This window comes from Homo sapiens, chromosome 12, assembly GCF_000001405.40.
Source record: "Homo sapiens chromosome 12, GRCh38.p14 Primary Assembly".
Classification (NCBI taxonomy): Eukaryota; Metazoa; Chordata; class Mammalia; order Primates; family Hominidae; genus Homo; species Homo sapiens.
The window spans coordinates 130,420,671-130,445,610 of record NC_000012.12 but is presented as its reverse complement, the minus strand read 5'-3'; the positions used below and the strand labels follow the sequence as shown (position 1 = coordinate 130,445,610).

The following is a 24,940-nucleotide window of genomic DNA, read 5'->3' as shown; positions in this document are numbered from 1 at the left end:
TTTTCTTCACATCTGCTTGCTAATTTGGAGATGTATAGTTACAGCAGAAGAGATAAGTGTGAATAGAATGTCAGAATCATAAACCTGTTATCTGATGCAAATAGTTCTGAGCATATAACTTCATTTCCGAATTGCATTTTTACTTTAAATCTGTGTGTGTGAGCTGGCAGTGGCTTGAATTTCCAGTGTACAGAGAACTCATCAGCCCCGAACGATTATGTGGGTTTGTAATTCCCTAGGAGTGGGAGAGAAGCCATGTGCCCGTCTGGCGTTCTGCACGGACAGGGGTGCGGGCTGTGTCCTCCAGAGCCTCTAATGAAGGAACTGTGTTTTCTCTGCAGTTACAACCCCTTCGATGGACCGAACGAGAACCCCGAAGCTGAGCTGCCCCTCACGGCGGGAAAATACCTCTACGTCTATGGAGACATGGATGAGGATGGGTTCTATGAAGGTCTCTGTTGGAACATGGCTGTGGCGGACGTAGGCTGGGCCAGTCCACCCCGCAGACCACCTCTTCCAGGGGCCTGATAGATAGGCAGGGCTCCCAACATACTCCTGGCCACCCAGCCCTCCTCTCTGACCCTTCCCCACTCCGTAGTTACCAGGTTTGCCCTCTTTGACGACTGGAAAGAAACCTGAGTGGGGTTTCCAGTATTCAGCTCTAAGCTGACCTCTGACACATGGTAGATGTTTTCCGCTAACCTCTGCAGAGCTTTTGGCAGCTATTTGCAGACACATGGGACTGACAGACCCTCTGCTTCCAAAAGTGTCTCTCCTGCTCTTGTCTTTCAGCACCCTCAGGGTCTCCCAGAGGCACCCTCTCTGGCAGAGCCTTGTTCTGCTCCAGGTGACCTCACGGGAAGGTGGCTCTTGGCACCTGTGGAAGGCCATCCATCTCCTTGACTTCAAGGCACTGTTGTCAACTTAGGGGGTGGCCCCAGGTTGCCCCTGCTCATTCCCTCGAGGTCTCCTCTCCAAATTTGAAATCATCTGAAAGGCCCCACCTTTTGTTGCCTTTTTAGCTTGAGAATAAACATGTAACAGCACCAGCAGCCCATAAATCAACGTTCTAAAGGATTTGATTCCCTAATTCCCTACATGTTTCAACTGCCCTGGACAAATAGCGTGGTCTTGGTTTCTTCCTCTTCCCCCTGAGCAGAAGGAATCTTGCTTGCTAAGCTAGCAGGTTTCTCTTTCGTGACCTCATGCTGTTTTCTCGGAGCTGATGGAAGCCCCAGGTGCTTTTCCTGGGTGTTTACTTGGGGTGAGGTCGGGTCACTTCTAGAGGTGTCCATGAGCAGGAGCCCAGCAGTCGAGCTGCCTCACTCACCACTCGCTCACCACTCTCTCACCAGCTGTTCTTGGCTCTGGATGGTCCAGCCAAGAACTCTCACCACAGTTGGTAGCAAAGCAGTTTGAATTCTTCCCATAAGTCCACATTATCACCACTGATTTTCACATAAGCACAGAAATATGTGCCCAAGGCAGCTGCCAGAAAACCTGTGTTGAAATCTCTGGAACTTTCTCACCACACATGGAGCCCACAGAAGCATTCCAGGAGCCTCTTTGCAGGCAGGGATCAAAACTCAGGGCTCCATTGTCTGTGTGACAGCAGGAAACTTCCTTCACCTCGCTGTGCCTCAGCTTCCTCTGCTATAGAATGGAGATAGTAATAGTACCCACCTCATAGAGGGTCTGAGGAGAAATGAGATAATAGATACGACGGTCTTCGGATAGAGCTTAGCACATAGTAATTGTTCAATAAATAGTAGCTATCACCATCACCACCAGCATTATAATCATCTTCATAACCATCACCACCATCATCATCATCACCGTCACCATCATCACCATCACCTCCATCTCCTCCTATGCCAAACTAAGGATTTTTAAATAGCATATCCTCAGTGCAAAGGATTGGCTCCTGCAGACCCACACCCTAGGTGGAGGTTTGGAACGGAATCCAAGTCCTTCTTATTTATTTTATTAGCATCCAGGACTAACTAAATGGTTGACATGTCTTCCCCTGGGCCACAACACATCACATGCTCCCCTGAGGCAGGGGGTCTTCTGGGCGCAGAATCCAATGCTCAGCATTTCCCAGCCCCTCTCTGTGGGTCTGTGGGTACCTTGTGATGAATTGGTGGAAACGGTCCATTCTGGGTCTGTGCTGGAAGATTACCCAAACTGCCTCATCTTTGAAGCTCTGAACACTTCTCCGTTTTCTGGCCGTCTGCTGTTAGCAGCCTTGTGAGCCCTACTAATGAAGAAAGCACGTAGAAGTTAGACTTTCACAAAATACAGCGGTCCCCACTATGTCCACTCTTAACCACAAGAGCTACTTTGACTTTTTTTTTTTTTTTTGCCACACAACTTGTGGTTCTGACACCAAATTGATAGTTTTGTTTCACATCAAATTGGACACATTGTGCATTCATTAAGATGTGCCCAGTGCTTTTCAAGGGGGCCAGGAAATCACCTTTTAATTCTTAATCAAAAATCATAGTAAGATGTTTATTTTCTTAATCTCCAAAAGCCACTGATTTGACTGACTCGTCCTTCTAACAAATCTTTCCTGTGCACTGTTGTGGGCCAGCTGTCACTCTAGGGCTGGGCATTCAATAGTCGTGTGGTCCCTGCTGTCCCTGAGTGTTGTTCGTGTTGGGAGGGGGTAGTCAGTGTACGTACACGGATACACAAACATGATGGTTTCAGGTTGCGATAAGTATCATGGAGAAAAGAAGACTGGGCCACGGGGATGGAGGAGCTGGCTCTTTAGATGGTGGGTGTGGAGCTGGCCCCAGCATGGACTCCTGGGAACAGCGGAGGAGCCCCAGGGCAACCCTGTTGCTCTGCCTTATGGTCCTGGTGGGGGAGGTGGGAGTACACTGGGGGCCTCGAGGCCCCTGCTGTGTTGGCTGGGTGATAACTCTGTCCTTGTACCCAACAGGAGAGCTCCTCGATGGCCAGAGGGGTCTGGTGCCCTCCAACTTCGTGGACTTTGTGCAGGACAACGAGTCGCGGTTGGCAAGCACGCTGGGGAACGAGCAGGATCAGAACTTCATCAACCATTCCGGCATCGGCCTGGAGGGAGAGCACATCCTGGACCTCCACTCCCCAACCCACATAGATGCGGGCATCACCGACAACAGTGCCGGGACCCTGGACGTGAACATCGACGACATCGGAGAAGACATCGTGCCTTACCCTAGAAAAATCACCCTCATCAAACAACTCGCCAAAAGTGTTATTGTGGGCTGGGAGCCCCCGGCGGTGCCACCAGGATGGGGAACGGTGAGCAGCTACAACGTCCTGGTGGACAAGGAGACACGCATGAACCTCACGCTGGGGAGCAGAACTAAAGCCCTCATCGAGAAGCTCAACATGGCAGCCTGCACCTACCGCATCTCCGTGCAGTGCGTCACCAGCAGGGGCAGCTCGGATGAGCTGCAGTGCACGCTGCTGGTGGGCAAGGACGTGGTGGTGGCCCCCTCCCACCTGCGGGTGGACAACATCACGCAGATCTCCGCCCAGCTCTCCTGGCTACCCACCAACAGCAACTACAGCCACGTCATCTTCCTCAACGAGGAGGAGTTCGACATCGTCAAGGCCGCCAGGTACAAGTACCAGTTCTTCAATCTCAGGCCCAACATGGCCTATAAGGTGAAGGTTCTGGCCAAACCCCACCAGATGCCGTGGCAGCTCCCGCTGGAGCAAAGGGAGAAGAAGGAGGCCTTTGTGGAGTTCTCCACGTTGCCTGCAGGTGAGCCCTGTGTCCTTCCGTGGGTCCCCCAGGGAGAGAACGCCAGGATGTCACCCTGCTAGTGGGGAGGGAAGGTGGGGCAGGCAGAAGCAGGAATCCCCATCCTGACAACATGACCCTGGAAAATCCCTTAGGTCACCGGCGAAGCACAGAACGTGTGTGCGTGTGCACAAGAGTCCTTGGAACATGTTAGGGACCATGTTGGCAATTTTTCTTTGAGCATTTATATCAACAAGAGGCTCATCCTACAAAAGACAGGAGGGAAGTGAGTCCCCCCAGGGGACACGGTTACATCTTCCGTGTCACATGCACCCCTGGACACATACTCACTGAGTTGGATACTGCCTGGAAGTGCTTACGTGCCTTTCAGAATCATTCCTTCTTTCTCGTCCTTGTAAATTATTATTATTATTATTATTATTATTATTATTATTATTATTATTATTTGAGATGGAGTCTCGCTCTGTCACCCAGTTTGGAGTGCAGTGGTGCAATCTCAGCTCACTGCAACCTCTGCCTCCCAATTTCAAGCGATTCTCCTGCCTCAGCCTCCTGAGTAGCTGGGATTATAGGCACCTGCCGCCACGCTCGGCTAATTTTTGTATTTTTAGTAGAGACAGGGTTTCACCATGTTGGTCAGGCTCGTCTCAAACTCTTGACCTCGTGATCTGCCTGCCTCAGCCTCTCAAAGTGTCGGAATTACAGGCACAAGCCTCTAAGCATGCATACGTGGCTTGTATAAAAGAGATGCAGTTTCATCACAGAAGCTATTTTCGCCGCGATGTGAACTCCAGTGTTCTTTTCTGCTATCTCCGCTCAAACAGGGAGTGTGATGTGCCCCCTTCCTTTCCTGGGGAGATGGTAGGGAGGTGGGGTGAGTGTGGACACTTTCTTCGTCTTCTTGCTCTCCGACTCGCCAGGGTCCCAGTGCTGCTGAGTTACTGGGCAGCCAGCACCCCCACCTCCGGAAGCCTCCACTGCCCGCTCTGATATTCATGAAACCTTTGGTCAGCTAGAGCCTGACAGAGCAGTGGTGTCAGGGGTAGGTGGGACAGACGCTGCCTGAGGGGGACAGCACGTCCAGGTAGCAGCTAACGTAGGCAGGGTCAGTTCATCTGTTACACGACGACATTTTATTTCCTCCCCAACTGCCCGGAGTTGATCAAGAATGCTGGGATAATGAGGCCACCCACTTTTCACTGACGCCTCCCGCGATGCCTTCTGATGAGTGCGGGGGTGAAGAACGAGAAACACCAGACACGGGCACTCCGTGGGGAGTCAGGAGGTGAAGGGCACCTCTCTCGGGGCCTTCAGGAGAGGCTCCCCTGGACACTAACTTTGAGATGGAGAGATTCAGGTAGAGGAGGGGCCCTTAGCACAGAGGTGGGTCCCCAGGCTCACCCCAGTGACTGGGAATGAGGTCTCAGAGTGGGAAGTAAACTGGAGGGACGTGTCTGTGTTGGAGGAAGAAGGTGTAGTTGGGACAATCACATGTAGGTCAGCATTTCTCAGAATTCATGCTTCAACCACACCCCATGTATCATCCCCCCATGGTCTTGGGTATGGCCAGGGTTAGCCATGCCCGGGGATGGTGGTGCAGGTACGGCCAGGGTTAGCCATGCCCGGGGACGGTGGTGCAGGTACGGCCAGGGTTAGCCATGCCCGGGGACGGTGGTGCAGGTACGGCCAGGGTTAGCCATGCCCGGGGACGGTGGTGCAGGTACGGCCAGGGTTAGCCATGCCCGGGGACGGTGGTGCAGGTACGGCCAGGGTTAGCCATGCCCGGGGATGGTGGTGCAAGGTTGGTGTTCTTCAGAGTAACACAGCTGGTGGGAGATACGGATGTGCTTATACTCACACACACCCCACACACACACATCCCTACAGACCCACATACATGAATACATGTACACACACCCACAGACACCCCCACAGACTCACATAGACAGATACACATACACATACCCACATACACACACCCACAGACACCCCCACAGACTCACAGATACACATACACACACACACAGACACCCCCACAGACTCACATAGACAGATACACATACACATACCCACATACACACACACACAGACACCCCCACAGACCCACATACACACACCCACAAACACCCCCACCGACACCCCCACAGACCCACGTACACAAAAACACATACACCCCCCACACAAAAAAACACATCCCCCCCACACACACCCACAGACACCCCCACACACCCACATACACAAAAACACACCCCCACACACATACCCCCACAGACCCACATACACCCATGGACACCCCCACCGACACCCCTACAGACCCACACACACCCACACATACCCACCCACAGACACGCACACACACATACACACACATACACAAATACATACACACCCACACACCCACACCCACACACCCACATACACATATACCCATATACACATATATACATACACATGCATCCACATACACACACCCACATACACACATACGCATGCCCACACATCTACACACATACATACACTTACACACATCTATACACACCCACACACACACCCACATATACACACACAATGTACATACACACATACACATGTACATATACATACATACATATACATCTACACACAAACACATCCACATATACACATATATGCACACATTACACACATACACCCATACATACACATTTACACACACATACACACATATACACACACACGCAGAAATGGATTCTCAGGTTCAACGATGTCATCAGACCTGGTCTCTTCATCTTTCAGTTTTGCTCAGTTTCATGGGGTGGTAAGATGGGGAATATGCGGTCCGGGCAGAGGGTAGAGGGAGAGAAAAGAGAGAAGAAAAGGTGAGAGGATGAGGGGCGGGCGGGGGGATGAGGGGATTGCCTTCTGCCAAGATCTCTCTTCCATTCGATCTGCCAAACGCCGGCGTCTCGTTGGCCCCTCTCTGAGCTAATCGTGTGGCTGCCTGGCCAGGCCTGAGACCCCTGGACAGAGGTAGCTCTGCCGGGTCACAGAGACTGAGGACAGGTAAGGAGGTGGTTCCACAGACAGTTTAGGTTTGCATTTCCCAGAAGATGGTGACTAAATGCCGAATTTAAAGGAAAAGGGCAGCTGTGCATCCTGGTACCTGACTGTACCCCGGCCCCACCCTCCCACCTCACCACAGTTTCTGATGTGCTTTCAACACTGTCTTCTCTTTTTCCCTGGCGACTTTACCGAATGATCTCGTTTCCAGGTGAGATGGGCAGAGCCCAGTCACGGCTCACCTGCCAGGGCTGGTCCCTGAACGCCTCCGTTCCCTTCTGTCCCCTCCCAGGACCCCCAGCACCCCCACAAGATGTTACCGTCCAGGCTGGGGTGACCCCCGCCACCATCCGGGTCTCCTGGAGACCACCTGTGCTGACGCCCACCGGGCTGTCCAATGGCGCAAACGTTACCGGCTACGGCGTGTATGCCAAAGGGCAGAGGGTGAGTTTTCGTTGGGTGGGTGGGGAGGGTTTGTTAGGCCCTAACGCAGCAGGGACCGGCCCGGTATTTGCTCAGTGGAGGAGGCAGGGTCTGCTCTTCCAGCCCTGATCACTGGAGGCACCCTCAACCCCGAAGACTCCATCAGCGTGAACCCCAGGACCCCTTCCTCACTTCCAGCACTCCCCCCATCTCGCTCCCCTCACTCATCCCCTGCCCTGCTCTGCTCTGGATTAAAAATGCAGGGGCCAGAGAGGGGACCCCTAGTGTCAGAACATTCTTGATTGATGACTGCCTTATTAATTTCAACAAACTGAGTCTTAGCACGATGATACCCATGGCCGAAGGCGCGTCCCGCCTTAAGATACTGCTGGGTCTGCACGTGAACAGGTGACCAGGCCTTGACTCCAAGAAATGGGTATATCCCTGGTGCCTGGTGTGGGGAACCAAGGACACCAGCCCCCTATCCCTGCCTGGGGTGAAGTAGAAGCATCTGCCCTCAGGGAGGGCTTGGGAAAGCAGCTGCTCCTCACCGTCCCCAGCTCCGCCCTGCAGGAGCAGGGGTGACTTGGGAACAGAGGCAGTGCGTCTGCCTGAGCCGCTTCCTGCAGACTCCTGTGCTCTGAGGCGGGAAGTCCCCAGCATGGGCCCTGGCCCCTGCAGAGGAGGCCCTCAGCCCTGTTCTCTCCCAGCAGTCGGAAGCCCACGTTGGCCTCTGCCTGAGCCCCTCTCTTCCCTCCAGCTGTGGTGGTAATAAACCTGACACTCACTCCCCTCTCTGGCCCCTGCATCTACTCAGAATGGGTCCAGAGGATGGGAGATAAATGGTTGACGTCACTGGCCTGACGGAACCCTCTACCACTGATTGGGTCCTGGGGCCTGAGGTCTGTGAACCTGCCCCGCCCCCTCCCCGCAAGACTTCCTGGAGCTTCCATACCTGGCGGGTGGTTGGAGTCGGAGGTCGCTGGGCATGATCCTTTGCACCTGGCCTCTGGGCAGAGGACTGGTCGGCTCCCCATTGCAGGACCGCGGGGCTCACCTCGGGCAGCCCGCGAGCCAGCTCTGCTTGTCCACAGGTGGCTGAAGTCATCTTCCCCACGGCAGACAGCACGGCCGTGGAGCTTGTGCGGCTGCGGAGCCTGGAGGCCAAGGGCGTGACCGTGCGGACCCTCTCCGCCCAGGGCGAGTCCGTGGACTCTGCAGTTGCTGCCGTTCCCCCCGAGCTCCTGGTGCCTCCTACCCCCCACCCGAGACCTGCACCCCAATCAAAGCCATTAGCAAGTTCTGGAGTCCCCGAAACCAAAGACGAGCACCTGGGTCCCCACGCCAGGATGGATGAGGCCTGGGAGCAGAGCCGTGCACCTGGCCCTGTGCATGGGCACATGCTGGAGCCGCCCGTGGGCCCCGGAAGGCGGTCGCCCTCACCCAGCCGCATCCTGCCACAGCCACAGGGCACCCCGGTGTCCACCACCGTCGCCAAGGCCATGGCCCGGGAGGCCGCGCAGAGGGTGGCCGAGAGCAGCAGGGTAAGGCTGGGGCTCCCGCCTCGGTGGCTCCTCAGTCCCCAAACCCCACGGGACGGGGCCCTGTAATCTCCCCAGCCCATGGAGGGGGACCCGCATCCCAGCTTGCAGGGAGGGGGGCCGCGCTCAGCCCACCGCTTTGCTGGTGGACTCTGTCATGTGCCTGATCCTGACTGAGTTAAATGGTGTTTTTTATTTGCTAATATGTAGCCACATAACTAAGGAAATGCCAGGCACTTGCCTGGCTTAGAAAGCAGGCTCAGAAGAATCCAGACATGGCCTTGGTGTGCGACAAGGGGTCTGAGAGTTGCCCGGTGGAAGTTGGCCAGGACCCACTTTCCTGAACCAGGCTCTTCCTGGTTTTGCTGGCTGCAGAGTCCTAGGTTCTGTGTGTGTGTGCATGTAAATATATACACACACATGCACATATGTGTCTATACATATATGGACATGCACCCATAGATACACGTATCTGTATGCACCCTCATGTATATACATACATCTGTACCTATGTGTAGAAACGCATACGGACATATAGACCCCTGCATACATATTTGCATGCCTGCTAACTGAACTTTTCTGGGTCCAGGAGAGAGCATGTGGATTGTGGTAGGGCATGTTCCGGATGATACACACAACGGGACGTGCGTTTTTGAGAAATCACCTGCAGAGCAATGCCCCCCGTGCAGGGCTAGGGGAAGAGATGTGGGGCTGGGAGCCAGAACGTGTGCCCGCATCCCCACCCAGAACCCGCTCTCATCTCTCCTGTTGTGTTGAGCCCGTTTCCACCTGAGGTGGCAGCACAGCCCTGGTCAGGACCCTCGGCCCTGCTGGGTCAGCCTGTGGGGTCTCACCGGGACCCTACACTGTCCTCCTGTGAGTGTTCCTCTGGGCTGGGGGCCGGGCCAGGGAAACCGAGGCGGGGCACGCACTGTGAGAGGTCAATGCTGAGCAGCTCAGGTGTGTCTAGGAGGACAGAAAGGACGATGGTGACACTGGGCAGGGAGCTACCTTCCGCCCCCACCCCGTCCTCCTGAGTGGGGCTGCCCCGGCAGCACCTCAGCACCTCCTGAAAAACTGGAAATTTTCTGTGAAATTTGCTAATTCGTTCGACATTGGCCACTAATAAAAATACTAAACATGAATTTGTGGCCTTTCTATAAAGGAAGCCCTTCAGAATATGTGAATTCACCATGGCTCTGATTGGTTCACAGGCAGGAGCCCAAGCCCTGAGCTTGGGAGGTGGTGCTTCTGGGGAGGCCGTGGGCAGGACGGGGTAGCAGCTGCCCTGTGGGATGCGGCTCCACTTCTGCTCCAGGTCCCCAAGAAGGCTGTGAAGGCAGGGAAGCCTGGGGCGGGAGAGAAAGCAAATACTTCCAAGTCCTATGTTTCAGACAAATGTGAATTGATCAAATTATTAATAAAAGCTGGGCAGAGGAGACCAATGGAGGGAATGAGGAGTCATCTGTGTATCCAAATGTTACCTCAAAGGTTAAAAAGAGGCTGGACGCGGTGGCTCATGCCTGTAATCCCAGTAGTTTGGGAGGCCGAGGTGGGCAGATCACCTGAGCTCAGGAGTTTGAGACCAGCCTGACCAACAGTGAAACTCTGTCTCTACTAAAAATACAAAACTTAGCCAGGCATGGTGGTGCATGCTTGTAGTCTCAGCTACTCGGGAGGCTGTGGCAGGAGAATTGCTTGAACCTGGGAGACAGAGGTTTCAGTGAGCTATGATCATGCCACTGCACTCCAGCCTGGGCGACAGAGTGAGACTCTGTCTCAAAAAAAAAAAAAGATTCTGGTGGGTCTGGGGCAGCGAGAGGGCGGCAGAGCTGGGCCCAAAGCACTGTGTGGGGGGTGCCTGGCCAGGCTCTGAGGGGCTGAAGGTTTGGTGAATGCAGGTGGGGCTGAGCGTAGCTGAAGGTGGCCCTGCCTCACCCGTGTGCCTCCTTTTTCTTTCCAAGTTAGAGAAAAGGAGCGTCTTCCTAGAGAGAAGCAGCGCGGGGCAGTACGCCGCCTCAGACGAGGAGGACGCCTATGACTCTCCAGACTTCAAGAGGAGGGGCGCCTCGGTGGACGACTTCCTGAAAGGCTCTGAACTTGGCAAGCAGGTGAGAGCGGGCCGGGCCCCACACCATCCTCCTGGTGGGCGCGGGCTCGGAGCGGGCCCCGTGGAGATCAAGAGACATGGGCACTTTCCCCGCTACCCTTGGGTCCCTGAGAGAGATGGAGACGCCCAGCTGGGGTCCTAAGTCGTGCTAGGTTTCTGAAGTTTATATTTAATGCCTGTCACATACCCTCATTGGGGATAATTGAAAAAGTCGAAGTGCAGGGCTTCCACCCTCCCCCGCTGCACCATCCTGGTATTCGGTCATAGGGGTGGTTTTGCAGGTCCGGGTAGGGTTAGGCTCAGTTCAGGCAGAACCTGCCATTCGCTCATTCACCTCCGTTAACTGGGCAGATGTTTGTTGGCCATCTGTGTGCTAGGGAGGCATCATGGGAGCCAAAAATAACACAGTCAGTGTTCGTCCTTCAGAACAGCAAAACGGCAGAGCTGGGCTCATGAGGAAGACATTCAGCCAGTTTGGGGTTTCTGTCTAATTTCCGATCGTGCATATTCTAATGGAAATGCCCTCAGATGCTGTAAAGAACAAAACTTGGACAACAGGAGGGACTGGAAATAACCGAGGGCCTGGGGAATGCTAAATAGTGGGAGCTCGAAGACGCTGCAGTTATCAGATCACACAGTATCCTCTGAACCCACTCCCACAGCAAAACAGCCCCATACCCGGAGAGGGGGACTGGCATCTCTCAGGCCTGGGTTTATGTCCCGGCTGGTTACAGACCACAGGTGAACAAGTCCCCCGACTCCTCCGGCCATGACGTTCTTCATCTGGAAGATCCAAATCGTTCAGAAACGGAATGCCCAACTAATCACGGCTAAGACAACAAAGTCGTTTAATTACCCCACATCACAGGGAGTCTGCAGTAGAGGCTGCGAGGTGGATTTTTGGCTCTCAGTGTGTCAGGGGTCTGAGTTCTGTCTCGTCCATTCTCTTGGCCTTTCTCTCGTGGTTACAAAGTGGCTGCCATAGCTCCAATAATCACACCGTCCTATGAGAACACCCCAAGAAGGAAAAAAGGGATGGACGGAAGCCAGACTTCCTTCCAGTCAGACTTTCTATGACATCTCGCTGAGCAGACTGAGGTCACATGGCCACCACCCAGGCAGGAACTGGCTTCCAATGAATGGCTTATCAGTGATGTGTCATCCGAAAGCCCACCAGGAAGGCTCAGAGGTAGAAAGGAGAGCTTTATTGGTGACATCAGTTTGCAGACCAGGAAGAGAGAGGCTCTGGCATGTGCTGAGGGTGCTCTCTCTGAAGAGGGAAGGGCAGGGTGATTTTTATGCCTCACAGGGTCCACATTACACAGAACCATATGCATTCAGGTTGGGGAAAGGCTGTGCATCCATCCGAGAGGAGTCACACGCACATGCAGTGAGTAGACATATCTGTAGCATCCTCTGTGTGCACCGCACATGGGGCGGGTTTTAGTGTTAGAATGAGGTGGAATTGGCTCTTTCCACCAAAAGGTAAACCCCACGACTCAAAGCCTAAGCTAAAATGGGCTTAAGCCTCTTTAAGCTGAAACCGGCTTAATGTCTACAGTCGCTTATCAGAAAAGAGTGTGTGTAAGGCCGGTCCTCTGCCCAGTTGGAGTTGCGTGGTCTGGGTTGTAAATGAGAGTTAGGAGGAGTCCCATAGCGCCTGTTGTTCTGGAGTTTAGCAAGAGTGTGGGTTTTCTTGCAGCGTAGGAATTTACAGAGCAGCCATGCCAGCCAGGCCTTGACCCCTCGGCCCCAGGTACCTTTTATTTCCCTAACCTTAGGGGCCATCTCAGTTGAGAAAGAGGTATCTGTTTTGGTCTCTTGGGTCACAGATGATTCCTTTTCTTGGTGCTGGGCCCTGGGTGAGTTCTGGAGATAGGATTTCTGTTGACTGTTGTACTCGTCTGCTGGGGCTGCCGTCACAGAATACCATAGATCAGGTGGCTCAAACAACAGAAGTCTGTTTCTCACAGTGCTGGGGGCTGGAAGTCCAGGGCCGAGGCACCAGCAGGGCTGGTTTCTTTCCCCTGAGGCCTCCCCGAGGCCTGCAGATGGTGCCTTCTCCCTGAGTCCTCACGTGGCCTTTTCTCTGTACATCCCTAGTATCTTGTCCTCTTTTTATAAGGAAAATAGTCCTATTGGATTAGGACCCTACCATCATGATGTCATTTAATCTTAATCACTTCTTTAAATAGCTCATCTCCAAATAAAGTCACACTGGGGGTTAAGGTTTCAACTTCTGAATAGGGTGGGGTGGGGAAATACAACTTAGTCCATAGCAAATGTCGAGCCAGCAACACCTGCCACGATAGCACAGGTTTTATGAGGCTTTCTGTGTATTACATGACACGCAAAACACAACTGGCAAGTAGTAAGTGCTCAGTAAACGTAAGCTCTTATTTTATGTATACAGGGAAACTGAGGCCCACAGAATTGAGAATTTTTGTCCATGATTACGCAGATGGTCTCCTAACAGAGCTGGAATTAGATTGAACCGAGGCCTGAAGAAGACCTGTTTCCACGCCTTTCCCCATGTGCCACGTTCTCCTCACCTATCCAGGAGTGAATCATCACCTTCCCTGCAATCTGCTCAGATTACAAACCCGGAGGAAAGGCTGGAGCACTTGTTCTCTGGGTGAAGGACCCATACCCCCACTGGTTTTTGAGATCGGCATTCAGCGCTGTCTTATGGCAGCCACAGCCCCAGGTGGCCCCAGAGCCCTTGACATGTGGCCACCTGGGGCTGAGTGTGACTGAGGCCCTGAATTTTTACTTCTATAAAATTAGTTCCAGATTAGTTTACATTCTAATTAGTTTACATGTAAACAGCCACACGTGGCTGGTGGCCACCAGTGCTGACGCCCAGCTCTGGATGACCACACCTGCTACAAGAGATGACTTTTCTAGAGAAGAGTAGAAACACAGCGGCAGAAACACAGCTCTGCACTTCCGAGGGCCTCCCACTCCTTCTGATGAGACTGCAGAGGAAGTCTGTTTGGCCAAGCATGCTATTAACACGTTTTCCTGCTTGTTTTGTTTTTTAACAGAGCAAACAGGTCTGTTTCTATTAAAATTTAAAAAGCGTTAATATTTAGCAGCATTGTTTTATGTTGTATTCATAACATAATAATATAACAATATATTAATTGTTAATATATATTGTTAATAATATAATAATATAACATAAAATAAGTGATACTTATTTTCCATTTACAGTTGAGATATTTTCTTTAAAAGTAACGTTAAATATTGATTCAATTCAAAGAATACATTCATTAATCATACAGATGGCGTCTGGCTAGGTGACGCATCATGACAGTGGTAGGGAGTGACTGAAGTTGAGCTGGTGCACAGACTGCCAGTTTTACAACCCGGGAAGTGTTCCCTGACCATCCGCTTCCCCATGCTGCCCGCCCCGTCACATGAGCCCTTACCCCCTGGCGCTATCCCATCTGCTCCAAGACACCGATGTTCTAGTGGGTGGAAGCCTCCACTTTTAGTTGACTACGGTATCTCTAGCATTTCACACATAGTAGGTGCTCAATGAATGTTTGTCGAATGAATGAATGAAAGAAGGGAGGCTGAGAGTAGCTGGGACATTTGCTCTGAAAAAATCACCTCCATTCTCCCAATATTACAAAAGCATTTTCATTAAGTCCACAATGAGAAATGCTCACTGTACCAATAAATAATATCTTTAGTTATCTATTTTTAAAAGTATTTCATTGACAAAGATTGTCTATGTTCCGGGTGTACGTCTTGATGACCGGATGTGGGTACACATTACGTAAAGACTGTCAGCATGGCTGAGTGTGGTGGCTCAAGCCTGTATTCCCAGCACTTTGGGAGGCCAAGGCGGGTGGATCACTTGAGGTCAGGAGTTTGAGACCAGCCAGGCCAACATGGTGAAACTCCGTCTCCACTAAAAATATAAAAATTAGCTGGGCGTGGTGGCAGGTGCCTGTAATCCCAGCTACTCAGGAGGCTGAGGCACGAGAATTGCTTGAACCTGGGAGGTGGAGGTTGCAGTGAACCGAGATGGTGATACCACACTCCAGTCTGGGCAACAGGGTGAGACTCCATCTCAAAAAAAAAAAAAAAAAAAAAAATGACTGTCCCAGTCAAGTTAATTAGTACATCCGTCATTGCCCATGCTGAATACTAGGCCCCCAGAACCTGCTCCACATGTAACCGAAAGTCTGTACCCTTATTAAATCTAAGGAAAGAGGCTTTTAAGAGGAATTTGTGATTTTTAGTTTGGCGAGAGAAAAGGTGGTTTGCCGAGTGATAAGACTGAAGTTTGCTATAGTGATGATCCAAATCCTGTCTCGTGGAGGCTTTACCTCAGCCTCTTTATAAGTGAAATTTATAGCCACAGGCCTCCTGCTGGATGCGGGGCTCAGCACCTCCCCTATCCCCAGGGAGGGCCATCTGCCTGCTGGCATTCTCCACTGAGGACTGGAGGGTAAAGCTGCGTGTCCCCCTAGGAGAAGGCACCCACCAAGTAGAGTGTCTAAGGTTATGTTCTCTGTCAGCAGAGGCAAGGGCAGACCTGGACCCTGGTCCCAGCCCTGTCGTTTACTTGCTGAGCGCCTTCAGCCAGTCACTAGACATCTCACTGAAATGCTGGTGACCTTTGCTTAGAACACTATTCCAAGAATGGAGAGAGGGCTGACCTCAAGCATCTGGCGAATGCCAGACACCTCCTTCCGTCCCAGGAGTTGACCCCTAGCTCACTGCTGGGGTTGAATAAAGTGAGACTGTGCGGTGGTGCAGGCAGTCCCTCCCCAGAGGCCTTGGGAGGGCCTCGTTAGACCCAGTCTCACCTTTTAAATCCATTTAAACCCAGTTCGCTTTCGTGCCTTCCGCTTGGAGCCTGGTTGGAAGCATTAGGGCTGGCGCAGCTGAGAGGCTGGTGTTGCAGACTGCCCGGCCGAGGCCCTTCCCGTCCTCCCTCTCACGGGCTTGGGGCAGGGAACCTTCCGCCCGCAGCCCCACGCAGCTTCCCTCAGCAGGCCAGGAACTGACCGTGACGCCAATGCATACACATCTTCATCTGGGTTAGGAATTGAAACCAGATTTTTTTTTAGATAAATACGTCACAGAATGCTATTGAATACCTTTGTCTTGCCACACCTCCGCAAAATAAACTGTTCTTAATCGATACCATGTAGCAAAAACAGAATATCTTTATGGATGTATTACATTCATCAATCTGAGTGCATCAGAACGTGTAGTTCGAGTTGTCGAAGGTTTACTTTGCTTTGAATACCGTTACCACGTGACTAGGTGCTTTCTCTGTGAGTGGAAACCCAGCGGCTGCTGCTGGCACCATCACTGGGAGAGACCACCAGGGCTGTCGCTGTCTCCAAGCTGGCATGTTACCAGGTAGCCTCTTCATTTAAACACACTTTTTTTGTTGAAGCCTTTCTGCTGTCCGCAGCCTCCGCCCAGTGCCCCTACTATCTGCACAATCTTCGTCTCATGCTGAGGCTGAGCTGGGCCCGGAGTAAGCACACAGTCTGTGCGGTGGCTCCACCTCCTGCCAGGCCAGGCTGTCTGCCAGTGTCTGCGCGTGTGTGTTAGACAACGTGGCATGTTTTAAAAACCTAAGTGTCTTTTGTTTTGTTTGTTTTTTGAGATGGAGTCTCGCTCTGTGGCCCAGGCTGGAGTGCAGTGGGGCAATCTCGGCTCACTGCGAGCTCCGCCTCCCGGGCTCACGCCATTCTCCTGCCTCAGCCTCCCGAGTAGCTGAGACTACAGGCGCCCGCCACCACACCCGGCTAATTTTTTGCATTTTTAGTAGAGATGGGTTTTCACCGTGTTAGCCAGGATGGTCTCGATCTCCTGACCTTGTGATCTGCCCACCTCGGCCTCCCAAAGTGCTGGGATTACAGGCGTGAGCCACTGCGCCCCGCCTAAGTGTCTTTTTATGGTACATATACACCTCACCTTACCACTATCCCCCTGCCTCTCTGACACAATGCTGGATCCAGGGTACACCTGGTGTGCACTGATCCCCACCGTCACCAGAGTTTGGAGCCTTTGTCCAGCCAATAAGTTGGAGAAGCTGAGGGTGCCCAGAAATGGACATTCTGCCCGCGTGTCTTGTAAGCCCCAGTGGGTTTTCTATCTTGTCCAGAGCTCAGGTGTTTCTGTACCTGTTGGAGCTGAGAGACCTGCGCTGATCCCATCTGTGCCACTTCAACAGAGAGAGTGGGTGTGTCCTCTCTCCAGCCTCACTTTCCAGAACGAGTAACACACACCCTGTGCCCGTCTCTAGGCCTGTGAGCCCCGTGAGTCAGCGAAGCAGGGAAAGGGTTGGCAAGCTCAATCTGGCCTCTTGTAGGATGCGGGAGGAGCCACCCGCTCAGTAGCCCCTTTTCTTGGCCCCCAGCCGCACTGTTGCCATGGAGACGAGTACCACACAGAGAGCAGCCGGGGGTCTGACCTCTCAGACATCATGGAGGAGGACGAGGAGGAGCTGTATTCTGAAATGCAGCTGGAAGATGGGGGAAGGAGGCGGCCCAGCGGCACGTCCCACAATGCCCTCAAGGTGAGTGGCTGGGGAAGGGGGACCCTGCACTCCGTCCCCAGAGTAGCTCCATCCACGTCCCTTTGCTGGGGCTGGTGAGGCAGGCTCCAGAGGGGCCTTGCCCTACAACCAGTAGCCCTCGGATTTGGATTCGCTTCTTTCTCACTATTGAATCTGCATTTGGGAATTACCTACACTCCTGTCTTGCTCTTGGCCAAAAGGTCTGGGTAAAGGAGTTTAGAGGAATCTATTTGGCACCCTCCAGGGGGCACCCAGCTCTGTGCCAGGAACTGAAGTGGGGGGAATAGAACAAAGAAGAACCCCCTCCACAGCCTTAAGTCTCATCTCGAGAGAATCGGCAGCCGAGAGAGCGTGCATCAACCTCTAAATGTAAAGCGGAGGCCAGGACGGTGTGGTCAGCAGGGAGCTCCTTAAAGGAGGGCACTATGGTGGCCCTGCCTGGTGGTGGGCAGGGGTCAAGCACAGTGAGGTCGGAAGAGATGGGTGTCCCACATCTGATCACACCGGCCTCAAAGACAGGCTGGAGGCTCCATGCACCTGCTCAGACCACCTCCCGCTAGACCCTCTCCCTTCTGCTCTGGCAGAGGCCATCAGCAAGGGGTCGACGGGCAGTTACCTGCAGGAATATTGAGCTCGAGGCACCCTAGAGCCAAGGAGGGTGGGTTTCCCATCCACGTGGCTTTCCCTTGGTCCTGGCCTTGGGGAGATGTTTGTCATTGCTGCTGCGGTTGCTGGCCAGTGCGTCCGACTCCCGCATTCATGTGCTCTGCAGGGCAGTGCGGGATGACCAGCTCTATGCACCAGGCCCTGTGCTAGGCTAAGGGGTGCCCTCTTCAGGTCCCAACCTAATGGGGAGACAGACAAAGGCAAGCCATTGGTAGGAGCTTTGTGGGTTTTCCAAATGAAAAAGGCCTTGGAGAGGAAATCCCCCGGGACGAAGCTTCCCAGCACTGCTTTCTCCAGGAACAGAGGGCGTGCATTTTGAATGGTGGACAGAAGACTCATCCAAATCTGGCCTGCCAACTCGGTGCCTACTTGCATAGACAAGACTGACTTATGTTCTCCTGGCAAAGGCCCCTGGCAGGGCCTTGGGGGATGTCCTGTCACCAAAGAACATGCCAGATCCCTATGCAAACCCTGCATGGTGCAGCACGTGCTATCCCCGGCAGCTCCTCCGTCCCCGCTCCCAGGTGACACCACGGAGCAGATTCACACTGGCCTTTGCGGAGTGGTCCAGTCTGACCCCACGACCCCTCTGTGTGCCCCAGAGCCAGGAGCTCCGAAAAAGTGCCCATGAGTCAGGCCCGGTGAGGCGGGCAGCTGGTCTTCCCCCGCCCCCTGATGCCTTTCCTTTTGATGGAGGAAGAGCCCGGGAATTGCTCAGTAGAGAAATAATGTCACCTTCTCTCCTCAGAAGGTGGCCCAGGGTCAAGCGAGTTCATCATAAAGTTCCTGGGCTGAGCCCCACCCCCACAGGCACAGCCCCACTCCCTCCACCTCTTAGCAACAGGGGGATCGCCGGGGCTGGAGCTTGGCCAGGATGGCAGCAGCCTCCCTCTCCCATCCACAAGGTGTTGTCTGGTTTTAGAAATCATGTAGGAGGCTGGGCTCGGTGGCTCATGCCTGTAATCCCAGCACTTTGGGAAGCCGAGGCGGGCAGATCATGAGGTCAAGAGATCGAGAACATCCTTACCAACATATTGAAACCCCGTCTCTACTAAAAATACAAAAATTAGCTGGGCGTGGTGGCACGCGCCTGTAATCCCAGCTATTCGGGAGGCTGAGGCAGGAGAATCACTTGAACCTGGGAGGCAGAAGTTGCAGTGAGCTGAGATTGCGCCATTGCACTCCAGACTGGGCAATAGAGTGAGACACTGTCTCAAAAAAAAAAAAAAAATAGAAATCATGTAGGCAGGTCTGGATTTCTGGGTTCTCTTTAGAAATTACAAGATGTGGTACAGAGATCTGGCCACTCAGCGCACACGTTCTCACGTGGCAGTGAGGAGCTGTAGCGGAGCCGGATCCCTGATGGGCACGGCAGATGTTCGGCCCCCGCTGGCCCGGTTCACTCATTCCCGCCTGCCTTGGAAAGTGCCTGGGGTTGCCATCCCTGTCCTCTAAGGATGGTTTGTTTTCGATGTCCTTATTCGCTCCAATATTAGCTGATGTGCTCCCGAATCTGCAAAGTGAAGGGAGAGAGCTATCAGCTGCACAGTGTGTGCCCCGATGCCTCCTCACCTGGCTTGTGGCAAGTCCCAGGCCCATGGCAGACCCTGTGTTAGGCAAATCCCACATGGTCCCCAAGATCAAGGGGCCCACAGCAAGAGGGGGGACAGACAAGTGGCCCTGTTCCGTGCCCATGTGGCTCATCTCTACTGAGCATCCCGAGGGCCGACGGCCAGGACCCAGGGGCACGCTTTGCCTGGGCGGTCAGCCAAGCCCCCTTGAAGGAGAGACCAGTCAGGAGTCCTTCATGCTCTTTGGGTAGAGGGTGAGTTGAGGGCTGTCCCCGGCAGAGAGTGATGGCGTGCAGACGGGCAGTATAAAAGTCATGGACACTGGTCTGGTTAAGCAGCTCCCGGTGTGGCCAGCTCTGTGCCACCCACTGGAGACTGTGATGGCTCAAGTGTGGCTCTCAGGGACTTGATGCAGGATGCAGAGGAGACAGGCGGACCCCAGTCCTTTGCTGACACAGACTCTGCACGATGGTGTGCGGGCGCTGTTGGTGGGGCCGGGGATGGCGTGGTTTCACGCAGCTTGTATCTTAGGGAGAAGGGTGACACGTCAGCCTAACTAGAAAGTCCTGCAGAGGGTGCCGAGCGCTGGAAGGGAAGTTGGCCCAGTGGATGGACAGGGACGGGTCAGGCTCCGTGTCTGGTGAACTGTCTCCAGTCACACACGGCCTCCAGTGGCAGCTGCCCTCAGGGTTTCTGAGGATGTAGCCCCCGGGCAGTCTCCCCTGGCACCGTGGCCACACCCACCATCTACAGCAGCGGTACCGTGGGCACTGTGGGGCCTGATGTGCCGCCGGGATCTCACCTGCCCTCTCCTTGGCTGGATGCATGGCGCTGGCTCCTGCCCGGCCCGCTGGCTCTGCGTGTGCTCTGCCTCAGCCTCCACCCCGCCCCAGCCCCGTAACCCATTCTGTTTTCATTGCAGAGCCCTCCACGGCATGCCCCCGGCCTGAGTAGACGCATGCTTCCCCCCCCTCGGTGCCTCCAGGACTAATTCTGTCTGTATTTTCTTTCCTCCCCTGGCCCCCACTTCATGCTGACCACACACTCTTTCCCGCGCCTGTTCTTGACACACCACCCCGTAAGGACTGCACTGACCATAGGACCTCGGAAGGCACTTTCTGGGAGCAGCCCGAGTTTCCCCACCAGCCCCACAGGAAGAGACTTTTCAGTATCCCCGAAGTAGCGGAAGAGGACGGAGAGTGCTGTGGGCTGCTACACAAGCAGGGTGCAGGGCCGTCCCCCAGGGCCAGGACGGGGCTGGCCAGAGAGCCCAGGCCCGGCAGGCCCTACAGGGGCGACGAGGCCCCTCGGGGCTCCTGGTTCCCGGTGAAGCACAGGGGCTCGGGGGCCGTCCCCCACGTGGAGGACTTCCTTCTGGAAGACAGGGGCTGTCGGTTCAGCCGCTCGGCCACCCGGAGCCCGGACAGCGGCCTGGACTGTGGGAGTGAAGAGGACGAGTCGCGGTTTGGCTTCGGAAACACCGTGGCCGCGTGCAGCCCAGGCCCTGGTCACTGTCCCTGCAGGAGGGGCCCGAGGCCGCTGCTGGCCCGGCGGCGGACGCTGACCCGGCAGAGCAGCGTGGAGGAGGACTTTGGGGAGCAGGTGGGCCCTGGTGGCCTCCTCAGGAACGACGACCCCCAGCCCGGCCCGGAGAGGCCGCCCCCCAGGAAGCACGGCTGGGGCGAGCCCACCGAGCACCAAGATTTTCGGGGTGTCTGGAAGAAAAGCATAACCATGCCCGACAGTAGGGCAGCTGCCCCCCACGCAAAGCCACCTCCCAGAGTCGCACAAGGCCCCCTGGTGTGTGACCTAAACTTCCTTTTCACAGCCGCTTGCCAAACCAATCTGTCCCATCCTTTCACTGGTTTTCTGTTTGTTCTGGTGTCCATCCCTGGGGACTCTCTTGCTGGCTGTCTTTCGTTTTCCCTGCATTTTTGATTTCTCAAGTCCGATTTGCTTCCCAACCTTTTGACCATGCTGAAGATTTCTTTACTGTGCTTAGAGTAATGATTTCCACCCCCCAGAATCAGTAATGAGTATGGCTGCTTGAATTAAAGGACAACTGAATCTAAATTTTAATTAAGGGTTAGCTGAAGTGTGATTATCTGAAAGTTTGGCAACATGTTTGTGTTCACAGGGATCCTTAGGGATTTATTTATGACTACTAGTATTGTCGAGGGTTTTTTTTCCTTGTTATTTTGGAGTTTTTTTCATTGCTTTCTGACATTTATAACCAAAAAAAAAAAAAAAGATTGAAGAAATCTATTTTTTTTTTTTTTTTTTTTGCATATTGTTTCCAAAGTTCTTGTTTTTTTCCCATTTCTTTTCTGTGCCCACAGTTTCCAGAACAAATTTTCCATGATCAGCCTTCTCCCCGCCGGCCCTGCCGTCTGGGCTTGTTGTTGGTTTTGAGCATAGGGATTCATTGAAGGCTTCATTCATCTCTATATTGTGTCCTCTTTTCGGAACATTTGCTCCTGTCATGCTGACCTTTTCATTGAAAACACAGGTGAGCCATCCACATGGCGCCAGGCCTTGGGTCTGAGGCCGTGTGCTTGCGATGGGCCCACCCAGGAGAGGTGCGAGATCCGTGCCTCAGTGACTCAGCCGCCCACGGCAGCCCGCAGCCTCCCCTGCCCTGCCACAGGTTCTGCAGCAGACACGCCTCATCCCCGGACTCCCTTCCCACCATTCATGCCTGTGTTCCTGAGAACTTCCTCACTCCATTTACTTACTAGCAAGAAGAAGGTTTTGCTGTGATTGTCTTTAGTCAATCCTAACCCTGATCTAAAGGTGAATTTAGAGGTGAACTTAGCCAGAAAGGAGACCCGTCTGAGTCCTAGAATGTTACCAGCATTTTCAGATTAGGAGTAGAATGTTGAGTTTTGAAGCTGATAAAATGTAGAAACTTCCGTCTTTCAGTTTTTTGAAACCTCACATACGACTTTTATCCAAGCAGGACAGGAGGAACTGCAACATCTTCCCCACTTTCGTGACAGCTGGGAGGGGGGCATGTGGAGACTAAGAGGGACTCAGGTGCTCCAAGGAGCCAAGGCGGGGTGGGATGTATTCAAGCCATTGTCTCTTTGGTCCCAAAACATTTGTCTTCAGCACCAGCAGCAGCAACCAAAAGAGACCCCCCCACAAGGAATTATTTTTGCCCTCACCCCACCATGCGCCCAGCAGCGGCTCCGAGTAGACAGTGGGGTGCTGGTGCCCGGCTTTGTTCTCTCCCAGGCCATTCAGCTAACCTTTCAGTTAAAAGCTAAGTTTAGTTGCCTTTACAGATTCTGCTTTTCAACCCGCTTGATTTGGCTAACTGAATTCTTCAGTTCCCAATGCTGGCGAGACTTACGACTTTGTTGTTGTTTTGTCTTTAGATTTTAGGGAACCCAGCCTCTGCAGGACGGGTGGATCACATGGGCCGGAGGTTTCCCCGTGGCAGCGCTGGTCCTCAGAGGTCCCGGCCCGTGACAGTCCCATCCATCGGTTAGTGGCCCCATCATCGCTGTTGTGTCTTTCAGCCGCGGAGCATGTGGCTGCTTACTCCATCTAAGCATGAACAAAACTTTAGGAGTAGCATTTTCCGCTAAGCAAAGAACACTGTTATTCATGGCAAAAAGAAGGCAGGAACAGCACAAGATAAATGAAAGCTATTTGTAAGTATTCTTGAAATATCAAATTGGCCTTCTACATCCATGTTCTCCCAGCTGATTTTTTCCTGGAGAGCTTCACAGGGTAAGCACTGAAGGGGGGACCACTTTGTGTCACCTCCCTCATCCTGGCATGGGCTCCCTGGGACACTCAGGGTCACAGTCCATGGCAGGTGCAGAAGCTGGATGTCAGCGTGCCTCAGGGGTCTGTGAGCCCCACCCGAGGGAATGCTGCCTGTCTGCAGAAGACACGCTGGCAGCAGAGCTAAATCCTGGGGGACACCGTGCAGCTGAGTGTGCCCCTGAAATGTGTGCTCCCCACATCCATCTGGGCACCTCCCTTGCTCATGAGTCGTCATCTGGCATTCCGTTTCCATTCTCTTCCTGACTTTTTGGAATTCAGCCAGCCATGCTGAAAGCTATCGTTTTAGTCATCCTAATCAATCCATGGAGGGGGATACTTCTATTATTGGAATCAATCATGGCAAGGAGAATTCCAAAAAGTATTATGCACAAGATAATGGAAGCTGGTCATCAGCACAGAGGAACCAGGCTTCTATGAAAACACACACACACACACACACACACACACACACATATAAATGCAGGGAGAACTCTTGATACAGCAGAAATAGATGAGGAGAAACCGTCTTGGTTTGGCATGACAGGGCTCAAGGAGGATAACTTCTGGATAGTCTAGGCCACTGAAAAGCCACCTGGAATCTCGTTGAAATAGCTGAAGTTTAAAAGGCCATTGGTCTTTTCCATCAATTCAAAATGAAGAAAGGCTTCATAAAGCAAAACAGATTCTTTGAAATTGTGTCCTGCCAGACTTTTTCTTCCTTGTACAATTCAAACAATAAGAAAAAAATTCCATCTTCACAGCTTTTAGATTGTGTTTATGTTTCTCTGGTAAAAATTTCATGCAATGTTAAAGATCCTTAGGAAACCGTATTTTCAGTTAACTGAGTAATAAAAGATGCAGTCAGGCTCACAGAACATTGATGGCACTTATTACAGATCAGCTAGCAGGGTTAGTGGAGCCCAGATTCCTTTCGGGTATTCTAAACCTAGTGTGTGTCTCTCAAATCTTCATTCAATTCGTGTGTCGTTCCCTCTGGAGGGACTATGGAGCTTAATAAATCGGTTCTCCTGGCTTTCATGTTAAATGACCTGTCCGAGATGTCCTGCCTTGAGAAACGATGTGGGGAAAAGGCCAATCCCCCTGTTCAAGGCTCTCATTCTCTCTCTGTGGTTAGGGTGAGATTTCGAGTCTTCATTTGACTGTAACTTTAATGAGTGAAGACTGCAAGCATGGCTCAGGAAGTGACCTGGGGATGGTGTAGCCGCTGAGAAGTTAATGCTGTAGGCGCTCAGAAAGGACGTCCTTTGGAAGAGGCATGGTAGGTCTTCTACTCCAGTCTCCTAGGACTGAGAACTGAAAATTGTGCTGTGACAAATCAGCACTTGAGCCAGGAAGTCCAAGAAAACCAACCCTGGGCCTGCAGTCTTGCCAGGGTGACCCTCGCTGTCAGAGTCTGGTTTAAATCTACTGTCCTGGGTTGTCTTGTTGCTTGGACTTAGACTCAATATTGGCTTAAATAATTATTTTTTGTCT

The 24,940-nt window shown here is 53.0% G+C and overlaps 2 protein-coding genes across 36 annotated transcripts in view; one reads left to right on the top strand and one right to left on the bottom strand.

Annotated features, from left to right (window-relative positions):
- RIMBP2 (RIMS binding protein 2) overlaps positions 1–24,940 on the top strand; it is a 320,167-nt gene that overhangs the window by 270,689 nt on the left and 24,538 nt on the right. For 19 of the 35 annotated variants that reach the window (NM_001351227.2, NM_001393621.1, NM_001351229.2 and 16 more), the window contains 7 exons: positions 342–451; positions 2,951–3,763; positions 7,095–7,246; positions 8,320–8,769; positions 10,731–10,877; positions 17,274–17,432; positions 23,050–23,158. In NM_001351227.2, the coding sequence (NP_001338156.1) occupies positions 342–451; positions 2,951–3,763; positions 7,095–7,246; positions 8,320–8,769; positions 10,731–10,877; positions 17,274–17,432; positions 23,050–23,158 (1,940 nt within the window). Of the gene's footprint in view, positions 1–341; positions 452–2,950; positions 3,764–7,094; positions 7,247–8,319; positions 8,770–10,730; positions 10,878–13,289; positions 14,079–17,273; positions 17,433–20,752; positions 21,470–23,049; positions 23,159–24,940 lie in introns of those variants that run through there. The other 16 variants (XM_047428628.1, NM_001393616.1, NM_001393629.1 and 13 more) reach the window with 5 other exon arrangements.
- The window catches only part of PIWIL1 (piwi like RNA-mediated gene silencing 1), an 88,374-nt gene continuing 82,784 nt past the window's right edge, over positions 19,351–24,940 (bottom strand). The window contains exon 23 of the transcript XR_007063144.1: positions 19,351–19,611. The gene's annotated coding sequence lies outside the window, so the exon portion shown is untranslated. The remainder of the gene's footprint in view (positions 19,612–24,940) is intronic.